We start from the raw sequence: 12,302 nt of genomic DNA, 5'->3' as shown, positions 1-12,302 counted from the left end.
AAATTCAGTTACTTACCTATTTATTTGTTTCTAGTCCATCTTCCCCACTAGACTATAAGCTTCACAAGGGCAGAGACTGTGTATATTTTATTGTACAATCCATGCTCAGGGTGTGGCACAATGCCTAGAACATACTGGGTACTAAATGAATGGTCGAATAAATAAATGAATCAATTGTTTAAAGTCATTCTGTCCACATTTGGATTAAGAGGCAAATCTAACTTAGAAATTTTTTAATAGTTGTAACTCTTCCCCTTATTTAGTTTTTATATAGACTATCTCTCTGTTGAAAAACAAGTTAAAATTGCACTTTGTCCATGAGGCTTCTCTAAACATTGCAGCCACAGTCACCTTTCCTTTCACTAGGCCCTTATTCATTTCATTCACACGTGTTCCTAGCACTTTCTAGTGCTGAGATGCATTGATATGGTCCCTGACCTCAAGGAGGTTTGAATATCTATCACACACTTTTAGACTTGACTATAACTCAAATGTGTCAAATGAATAAATGAATGAGTTTAATTATAGCTTTGTTGACATCTCAACTCCTTCTTATTTTTCATGATATTAAACACAAATGCATAGCTTCTTCCCATAATATTACTGGAGTGGCTCAAGAAAGGTCATCCTTCCATAAGAATCAAAAGAAAGTGATCTATTCCTGGTACAGACTGGATGCTGAGAAATGAAGTCGCTTCCCAGCATCTCTAAGTCTGACTTACACTCTACTAATTCATTATAGTTAAATGGATTTCCCAAAAAGCCACAACCTCTTGTATTTAAATGTAAACATGAAAACATTTTCTAAGCCAAAGGTCCAAGGATTTTAATTAGCCATCTTAAGAAGTGACTTTCTTTCATTGGCTCAGATAATTCTACAGTCAGTATCCATGGGGGATTGATTGCAGGACCCTCCTCAAATACCACAATTCTGGGGTGCTGAAGTCCTTTATGTAAAATGACATAGAATTTGCATATAACCTACACACATCCTCCTATATACTTTAAATCGCCTCTAGATTACTTTTAATACCGAATGCAATGTAAATGTTATGTAAATAGTTATTATCCTGCATTGTTTTTTTTTTTGTTTTTTTTTTTTTTTTTTTTTTTTTTGAGACAGAGTCTCGCTCTTTTGCCCAGGCTGGAGTGCAGTGGCGCGATCTCTGCTCACTGCAAGCTCCGCCTCCCGGGTTCACGCCATTCTCCTGCCTCAGCCTCCCAAGCATTGTTTTTTACTTGTATTATTGGGTTGTTATTTTTGTTGTTTGGGTTTTTTTCCAAATATTTTTTATATGAGGTTGGTTGAATCCAGGAATGTGGAACCAAAAGACATGGAGGGTCGACTGTCTTCATCTCTTTTTCTTTTTCTCTCCTTTGTTTTCCATGATCATATCTGGTAGCACTGTAGTGCAGCCTCACTAATTTGAAAACAAATTTGAAATCAAATTCAGGTTTTTTTCCTTTGCCTCATCCATTACATCCAATCCTTTGAACAAAAAAAAAGTATTGTGTATGTAGTATAAAAACAAGTAGCTAAAAAGTGGGAAATTGTGGGAAAATGTTGGCTGTGATATTTGCACGATGCTCCACTTAGGTTTAGTGATTTTTCTCTACATTTGATAAATGGAGCTGGTTTTTTGGCAGTATCTTGGCATAATCAGTATGCTACCAATTTCCTGTAACATTTCTAAGCTTTATTCTTTCCAAAGCTATTTTTTTCACTCTCAACTGCAGGCTACTAGAACAGTCTTTTTCACCTCCATTCTGCCCTGCCTGCCTCAGCCACAGTGATCAAATTCCAGTACCCTTTCTACTGGTAACCTCTAAATCAGTCCTCTTCACTATCTCATTGACTCAGACTTCTAAAGAACAGACTTTGGGAAGCTCAACACCCTTCCTCACGTCTTATAATGTTCTAGTTATTTTTCTACTTAACTAATGCAAATCTATTCCTATTTTCTGCTCAACTAAAGCAAATCACCTTCTGCCATTGACTCACCAACTCGGTTGTTCAATTTCCTCATTAAATCTATCATCAAGACCTGTAAGTTTTACCTCCCTAATATATCTGAACTCCAAGCACTTCTTGCCACCCTCATTGCTACAAGCTTAGCCTCATCTAAGACTGTATTTTTTCTATGGCTCTATAATAGACTCCTCGAAGGGGCCTCTCTGACTCTTTTCTATCCACCACCTTCTGCACATTAACTGCAAGCAAGTGTGCAAAGCACCTTCTAAAACATAAATCAGATCATGCCACTTCTTTGCTTGAAATGTTCTAGTGGCTTCCCTTTAGGACCACAATAAAACCCAAGGTTCCTACCTTGTCCTGCAAGGCACTATGTGATATGACACCTCCCACCTTTTCACTTCTTGCTCCATCCATTCATTCGAGGTACACAGGCTTCTTTGGCAAAACACCAAGCTCTGATGGCCTGAGTCTCAGTTCGTTTGTACCACTATAATAAAATCCCTCAGACTGGATTATTAATATAGAACAAAAATTTATGTCTTACAGTTCTGAAAACTGATCATTCCAAGACTAAGGTGCTGGAAGGTTTGGTGTCTGGTGAGTGCTGCTCTCTGCTTCCAAGATGGTGCCTTGTTGCTGCATCCTCCAGAGGATGAGGAGCACTGGATCTTCACATGGTGAAAGGGAGAAGGACAAGACAGCCACATCATTCATAAAGCCTCTTTTATAAGGGCTTTGATCTCATTTACAAGGAGAGGAGCCCTCACTACCCAATCACTTCTGAAAGACTCCACCGCTTACTATTATCACATTGGCCATTAAGTTTCAACACTTGAATTTTGGAGGAGATATATTTAAACCATAACAACCCATGACATGCTCTTTCTTTCTCCGTCTCTTCACATGGCTTCCTCCTTCTCAGGACCTAGGTTTCAATTCAAATGTCACTTTCTCAGAGAGGCCTTTCCTGGCTCCCTTGTTAAGCAACGTCCTCTTCACTCTATATGACTTACCTACAGTGGTTATATTCTTAGCACTCATCAGTGTGTGAAACCATCACATTTACTTGTATATTGAATATTGTCTATCTCTCCCCTTAGAACATAAGCTGCTTAAGGTCAGGTTTACTGTGGGTATTAGTCACCATTGTATTTCCAGCATCTCATGTAGTCTAACATGTATTCCTTTCATTCATTCCACAAATACTTAATTAGCAACTACTCTGTGTCAACCATTGTCTTGGGCACTAGGATATAAGCTGTGAATAGAATTGAAAAGACATCTGTAATTCCAGCACTTTGGGAGGCCAAGGCAGGAGGATTGTTTGAGCCCAGGAGTTCAAGGCCAGCCTGGGTAACATAGTGAGACCCTGTCTCTACAAAAAATAAAAAATAAATAAAAATTAGCCAAGTGTGGTGGCACATGCCTATAGTTCCAGGTACTCAGAAGGCTGAGGCAGAAGTATCATTTGAGCCTGGGAGGTTGAAGCTGTAGTCAGCCCTGATTATGATACTGCACTTCAGCCTGGGGGCGACAGAGCAAGACATTTTCTGAAGGAAGGAAGGAAGGAAGGAAGGAAGGAAGGAAGGAAGGAAGGAAGGAAGGAAGGAAGGAAAGAAAGAAAGAAAGAAAGAGAGGGAGGGAGAAAGAGAGGGAGAAAGAATGAAAGAAAGAGAGAAAGAGAAAGAAAGAAAGAAAGAAAAGAAAGAAAGAGAAAGGAAAGAAAGAAAGAAAGAAAGAAAGAAAGAAAGAAAGAAAGAAAGAAAGAAAGAAAGAGAAAGCAAGCAAGAGAGAAAGCAAGAAAGCAAGAAAGGAAGGAAGGAAGGGAGAAGAAAGAAAAGTTCCTGTTTTTACAGGGTCTATATCATATTTGGGCGGGGCAGTGCACACTGCAAAAAAACCAAATTGTCAGTAAACAACTAAATATATACTATATCAAGTGATAATAGGTGCTCTAAAAAATACAGCAGGAAAGAGGAATAGGGGATGCTAGCGGAACATTCACCCCATCCTCCAATAATAAACATGGTGAATTACTTGCCTTTGTTTCCATAGCACTTTAGATACACTTTTAAAATATCACACTTATCACATTTTATCATAGTGACTTGAAGAAAGTGAATTCATCTGGCTCTGAGTTCTAAGTTAGTGATGATGTTATATGCATCGGTCTTTGCATCAGACATATAGGAAGATGCAATAAGTGCAATTAAATGAAAAAACATGTGAATTAGCAAATGTTTACTTTTCTATTGTTACCCTCTTGAATGTCTTCCTTGTAAAACTTCATTAAAGAGCATTCATAAGAGACCTGCAGAAATATTTGGTCATTTAACCCTTCCTGTATGCAATTGGTGCTGCATTTGATGTCTCTGAGCATCAGTAAATAGGACCATCCCATAACTGCTGTGTATTTTTAATTTGTGAAGTGATTCTCTGAACCTGATTAGACTAAGATATGCCCTCCTTTTCTTCAGCCCACAACACTAGGGCTTGTGCTCAGTGGCCTTTCGTGTGTCATACACTATATTTATCCACATAAAGCAGATACATGATACACATTGTCACTAATTTGGTTCCTCTGTTACATACATAGAAAACAGTTACAGTGAAGATATTGTGTATTTTGTACTTTTAATCTGGGTCCTTGGCACCAAGCCACTCATCAAGGAGAAGTCCAATTTTCTGCAGAAATACTGTGATACATTTGAAGTTATTCTCTGCAATGACATAACACTACTCCCCTAGATAAGCAAACATCTTTTTTCAGTACTTCCAGTGTATTTCATGTCAGAAGCAATAAAGTATATAAGTTCATTTTTATTTGTAAAGAATTGGTTCCCAGTTTGCGTCTATGACATGGCTAAGGAAGCTGTAGATAAAGAATTTAATGAAATCTGATACCATATGAGGAATACTAAAAGGAGAAGTAAGTTTTTCTCAGACTTTAATTGCTGGAAAAGTACATGAAGAGTGCAAATACTTCAGTGTCAGCTAACCAGTCCATTTCCTTATAAAGGATGCCTCATGTGCCCCTACAAGCAAAAGAAAAACAAAAAGCCTATTTCTCTAGTAAAAGAATATACTAACTAATGTCAGAGGCGAAAGAAGAGGAAGAGATATTTGTGTTGCATATTATTCAGGATTACAGGATTTCAAAATGCGTGTGGTTTCCTGCCAGAAACTTAATTTCCAGTCTTGCTTTCCAAACTATGTAGCCTGGGCTGTCGTTGACTTCCTGTGTCCTTTTCTGATAGTATACGTATAAAAATAGAAAGCAGGAAGAAAACACTTATCAGCCAAACTACATCATTTGTGTTTCAGTATCAATTAACAGAAAAAAAAAGACTACATCATTAGTTAAATCTCTATAATGTGGAAGTTTCAGGGGTTTTTTTTCTTTTTTTTTTTTTTTTTTTTTTTTGAGATGGAGTCTCCCTCAGTTGCCCAGACTGGAGGGCAGTGGCGCGATCTTGGCTCACTGCAAGCTCTGCCTCCCAGGTTCATGCCATTCTCCTGCCTCAGCCTCCCGGGTAGCTGGGACTACTGGCACCCACCACCATGCCCAGCTAATTTTTTGTATTTTTAGTAGAGACGGGGTTTCACCATGTTGGCCAGGATGGTCTCGATCTCCTGACCTCGTTATCCGCCTGCCTCGGCCTCCCAAAGTGCTGGGATTACAGGCGTGAGCCACCATGCCCGGCCGGTTTCAGTTTTTACGTCCATCAGAGTGTCTCTCTAATCGCTATTGGTGCAGGGTGCTGGAGGCCCTTTGGATTGAGCACCAGTGTGGTGAGTGTGACCCAAATACCTGAAGAAGCTCTACGTGTTGCAAAACAATCAGAGAAAAATCAATACAAGCATGTCATCGACATAGGAAGTGGTACAGAATGATTTTTGTTTTGTGCACTAAAAGGGCTACCATTTCATAAGGCCTGGAAATGTGGGTCTTTCATGCCAGTCTGACACTGGTGTGGGAACCACTGATGGATCCATTGAATTATGTTTTAGCTGGCTCGTAAATGGGATCCTTTAGAATGCACAGCAAATAAAGCTTCCATTATTTATCCATCTTTGACTAGCCATTGTACACAGTCCACATCTTGCTTGCTGTGCCTATGAAAAGAGGTTCTTAATGATGAACACTATTGTCAATAATTTTTCATGTATTTGGAGTTTTAATTAGTACAGGTGTTTGGAGAAAAAACTTCTCAGATGTAGGCAATTATTTCTGCTATTCTATAGGTTAGATAGGGATGCACACATGCAGAATGAAGTTGCATCAAATCAGATTGGAATGTTTTGACAGCAAGACACAGCAAATGATTAGGCTGGTATTATAAAGCAGGAGCGATTAACAAGTGATTTACGAATGGCAGCAGAGGCACAACCTTGAATTACAATGAACAGAGAGAGCTGAAATGTAGCGGTTAACAAAACCGCATTTGATTAGATGAAGATTTGGGGGATTATTTGTAATGGGTCATAGATAATAGTTCTAATACAAGTGATTTTTAAAATTTTGATTTATAATACCCACTCATTGATGAGCCCTCCAGGCATATGTATAGCAGCCCAACGGAATTCAAACCAGTAAAATTGTCAAGAGAACCCATGTCCATTTACATTAGGAAAATCCTGATTTAACGGATGTGCTTTATGTGATGCCCTGAGGGACAACAGGTTTAGATTTTTCTGAATCAAAAGAAAAAAATTCCAGAGCTTTGCGTTTCTTTATTAAACTCTCCTACTCTCAGTCCTTAACTAAAAAGACAATTCGGATAATACTCAATCTTAACTTGGGAATAAGACATCCTTCCTTAACCCTTTAAGATGATTGAATAGCAATCTGAGAATATGGCAGACGTGCTGTTTTCACTGTTTTTAAAATGAGGTGTTTTTAGAGGGATGAGAAAGAGTGCGGCTGGATTTGAAATGTGTTAGACCAGATCTGAGAGGATGTCATTGGTAAAACAAAAGAAAATGAAAGTAATTATCATGATATGGAGTAATGATGTTTTCAAAGTATTTTCTTTTTTTTTTCTTTTTAACATTCAAGATATCTTTCAAAAGAAAAGGAAGTTTTATTCCCACTTTACAAATTGAAAATCAGATATTTAGAGGTGAAAAGAAACTTCATAATAAGTGAGTATAATGATCAAAGATTAGAAGCAGTGCTTTCAAAAATGCTTTTGTTACCATTCAAGCATTGTCATTTCCTTCTAGTAACCTCGATCATGAAATATTTCTGGGTCAGCTATAGAAACAGTCAAAGTGCTGTCCCGATGTCCCATTCACTCTGTCCCAACCCTCCCTTTAATCCCATTCATTCTTTCCCTGCCACTCTCCATCCCTACTTCTCATATTAGGAATTATGAACATGTGTAAAATTACAGAAACACAGAAAACATTGTAATGGTTAAGAGAAAAATACATTTATATTAATATATTTAAGAAACATTTATGTTGTCAATAAAATATGAGAAAAATATTCATCTTCAATAATAACTCAAAAAAGGCAAAACAAATGAGATACCATTTCCCCACTATCAGAATAACCAAAAATTTTTAAATTAAAAACTAGTTTCCACAATGATGTGAGTAAAAAGGAGCCCTCATATCATACCCTCACATAAGTATAAATTGCTGCAACCCCTTATCGTCAAAATTTTGTCTGTCTATATACATACATATATATGTAAATATATATTTTTGCAGCACTATTTTCTATGGAAGAAAAATGCACAAATATGAAAAGATCATTTTCTTGAAAGATTGTTTTATTTTTTAATATAAAAGGTTGCAGAAAACAAACGGCTACATATATATGTAGTTGTGTGCACATACTATACACATTATATATATATATATATATATATATATATATATACACACACACATACTAAAGTGGTAATGTTACCTTTGGGGATGGGGGTTGTTGAAGGATTGTGTGATATTTATTTTCCATGGTAGAATTAAGGTTAATTTTAACTTCTGTGTGTGTGTTCATATTTTTCAAATTAAAAATACAAGCACACAAGCCATATTATATCTTTAAGAAGTATATACATATCATAAATTAGGGGGTCACACAGGCATAACTTGGGTACTGGCTTCACCACTGAATCATCTTAGATTCCCTAAACTTTTGTTTTCTCCAACATTAAAATAAGATAAGAACCTAAAATAAGTTTTTATCTTATGAAGTTGTAAGGATTAAGGAGATAATGCAGGATAATTTATGAAAATGATTGCTATAGTAACTGGTGCATTAAAAGTTTAATAAATATTAGATATTATTGTTATTATTGCACTCAAACTCCAAATTCATCCGGCCTATCAGATAAATGTTAATCCCTACCTGTTCCTAAACTAGTTAAGGTCCTTGTCTCCTTGTTCTTTTAGAAGTTTGCATTTGCTCTTACATTCCATCTAGTTCTCCCCTAAAAAAGCTGCACTTTTTTGCTTTGCCTCTCCGCTGGAAGGCTCTTGCCTGGGTCCCTATTTTCCTACATTCGTTCAGGTAAAACCACCCCCATCAGCCTCTACTCACCCACTTCAGCTTATCTCATTGGAATTCCATCTAGGCCAGAACTCAAAACCATTCCACCCCTACTGCCTCTCTGTCCTTTGCCTCCTAACTGAATTCCAAGTCTTGCTTATTTTTTATTTTAATTTCATGTGCAGGATGTGCAGGTTTGCTACAAAGGTAAATGTGTGCCATGGTGGTTTGCTGCACCTACCAACCCATCACATACGTATTAAGCCCACCATGCATTAGCTATTTTTCCTGATGCTCTCCCTTGCCCCGGGGCTCCCGTCCCCACCAGCAGGCCACAGTGTGTGTTGTTCCCCTCCCTGTGTCCATGTGGCCTCATTGTTCAGCTCTCACTAATAAGTGAGAACGTGCGGTGTTTGCTGTTCTGTTCCTGTGTTAGTCCGCTTAGGATAATGGCTTCTAGCCCCACCAATGTCCCTGCAAAAGACATGATCTCTTTCCTTTTTGTGGCTGCTGAAGTCTCGCTTTTTTAATGGAGATGGGCCCAGGCATCCCAGTATTTCCAAGAACAGCTTTTTCCTATGATAGCTATAACATGGAGAAAATTATTACTTTTCAAAAATTGCAAAGAAAGCATCAATGTCACCATAAAAATATTATGATCAGGTCCCATGATGGACACATCAGCTATATTTAGAGGACAAACGAAGAGATGGATTCTATTTTAGAAAATATTTTCATACTTCGAATGTGTTCCTTAAAATATTTAATGGGGCAGTTTCACTGGTAACTAGAACATAAAACTGAAGTCTCCCAATCCTTGCCGTCCATGGCAACTTAGGTGATCACAGGAACTGCCACTCTTCCCGAGTCTGCATGTGGACATTCTGTGCTCACAAGGGAAGAGCCAAGGAGGGATGTCAGGAAGAAGCGCTTTTTTAAAATCGGCAGAATTTTAATATTTTTGTTCTTCTGGACAAAGAATATTCTCTACAACTAATGGTTTATCCAACATTTATCTCAGGAACATCTGAGTTTTGTTAATTTTCTTAGAGGTAGTAACTGGACGATGTATAGACAAACATGTTTGCCTCCCGACTGTAGCAGAGAATAATCTCTTGAGAGGAAATAGTTCTTTTTACAGCAACAAAAAGCAAGAAAAGCAGAGCAATAAGATGATGCTGTTAGTAGTTTATGTCTCTTAAGACCTTAAAAGGTAATAATCATTCTACCTTCCATTTCCTTAGCGCCTGATGGTTTGCAAAGTACTTTCACATACATTATCTCACTCAAGGAAAAGAAATGCATATTCTATAAGGGCCATTCCTGAGAGAAAATGAAACATCAAGCAAACGAAAACTATTCCTCGATTGAATAATTCAGGGAGCTGCTCTATCAAAATAGTGAACCACTTCATGAGAAACAGAGGAGACAAAAAATCAAATCAAATCACCATCACTGGCATAAATATGAAATATATGGGGTCGACTAACTTTTTTTCATTATGTTCATGATTCAGGGACTATAATTTGTTTCATATTTGTCAAAATTGGAAATAAGATGATAAATAGATATCCTAGCTCTTAGGCACCCTGTGGAATTTCAATGTCTTGCCACCTAAGGCAAAATACACACACACACACACACACACACACACACACACACAGTTTGGCAGTGTAATGACTTTCTTTTGCCCTCTGATTCCATACAAATTTAACTCCCTGTCATGACACCTGCCCCACTGTTATTGTTGTGTACCTTTTGCTCCAGCCTGGCCAGGGTCTTCCTTTGACAAAAATGTGCACATTGCTGCTTCTTAGCCTCTGTTCCCCACACCATTCTTCATAGCTAAAATAATATTTCTTCCTCCAAGCACTTTGCCCAACTACCCTGAGCTACAATCTCCATTCTTTGTCTCTAATAATTCCTGTTTTTTATTCATTCACCCAATAACTATTTGATGAGAGCTGCCTATGCACAAGATATCAGGCTAGGTACTGGGAATAGAGCAATGAAAAAGACAAACGAGATCTCTCCTCTTAAGGAGCTGGGGACATTCTGGGAGGCGGGGACAGACAATAAATGCATTTTACACATTTCAGATGCTGCTAAGTACTATGAAGCTCTATAACAGGGTAATACAAGAAAGTGGCTGGAGAGGGGACAGATAGTTTAGGTTGGGGGGATAGTCAGGGAAGGCTTCACTGAGGAGGTGACATCTGAGCTGGGACCTGAATGACAAGAAGGAGCCAGCCCTGCAAAGATAGGGGGAACAGGAAGAAGGGCGGTGTGGCAGGAGGAGAGTAAGCACAGGGAAGCATGCTGAGAGGCATGAAGAGAGGAGCTGAGAGTCAGGCAAGAGTTAGATCCCGCATGGACTTTACCTTTTACTCCAGGTGCACCCAGACGCATGGGAGGGTTTTCTGCAGGAGAGTGGCAAGACAGGATTTGTGTTTTTTGAAAGATCTCTCTGACTACTGGTCAGAGAATGGACCATGAGGGTACAAAGTTAGAATGAGGCAGACCAGTTAAGAGGTTGTTGCAGGTCCAGGGGAGACAAAAGAGGTGGAGACTTTGTATGGGGAACATGGAGAAAAGTTGGCAGATATGGGGTCTATTTTGTACATTAAGCCATTCAGACTCATGGGTAAGTTAAATGCAGCAGGGGAAAGAAGTTCGATGTCATATTCTACTGTGTCATAATTAAACAATCTCACGTGTGTTTGTACATGTATTTCAACTGAACTATAATTACTTTGCAATCAGAAATTAGTCATATTCTTCTACTCTTTTTTTTACTCAGCTACAGAAATGAGGATGGCTCATTGTAGAAATGAGCGTGCAATAAAGACTTGCTAACTTGAATCCAATTAATATTTCTACTTCTATTGTGGGTCCAAAGTCGTCTAGTTCAACTAATCATGGCAAAGCCAAGTGTCTCCCTTCCATTTTCTTTACTGCATCCTGCCATCTGTCCTTTCACCTCCTGCTACTTTTCAGTCACTGTAATTCTCCCTGTGATTCCTTCGCAATCGCCCTCTGAGTATCAGATTTCTGCTTCCTCGCTCACTGCACGCCACAGTTAGTTCTGTGCAGCTTGCTCCAGCCATTTACTCTGTGCCCACTCCCTGTCAGGCCCTCGGCTGGGTGATGGGGACCCAAAGGTAAACATCAGCAGACGTGAGAAGAAACTTCACAGTTTAATCTTCACACGAGAACTAGGAGGGAGAATCCTGGACCACACAGGTACCACACGAGAACTAGGAGGGAGAATCCTGGACCACACAGGTACCACACGAGAACTAGGAGGGAGAATCCTGGACCACACAGGTACCACACGAGAACTAGGAGGGAGAATCCTGGACCACACAGGTACCACACGAGAACTAGGAGGGAGAATCCTGGACCACACAGGTACCACACGAGAACTAGGAGGGAGAATCCTGGACCACACAGGTACCACACGAGAACTAGGAGGGAGAATCCTGGACCACACAGGTACCACACGAGAACTAGGAGGGAGAATCCTGGACCACACAGGTACCACACGAGAACTAGGAGGGAGAATCCTGGACCACACAGGTACCACACGAGAACTAGGAGGGAGAATCCTGGACCACACAGGTACCACACGAGAACTAGGAGGGAGAATCCTGGACCACACAGGTACACGTAAGAAAGAAAGGGAAGAATTACACAGGAAAACACGGATTTGATTCTCTCCTTTAGAGCTGGGCTCCCAAAGAGTTCCATAAAAGGGAAGACATCTTTGCTTCCCTGCCCCTTATCTCTCAAGCCTTCTGGACACTCTGTTTCAAGTTCCAGGAA

Source organism: Homo sapiens, chromosome 8 (assembly GCF_000001405.40).
Source record: "Homo sapiens chromosome 8, GRCh38.p14 Primary Assembly".
Classification (NCBI taxonomy): Eukaryota; Metazoa; Chordata; class Mammalia; order Primates; family Hominidae; genus Homo; species Homo sapiens.
The sequence above is the reverse complement of the archived record's forward strand: the minus strand, read 5'-3'. Positions refer to the sequence as shown.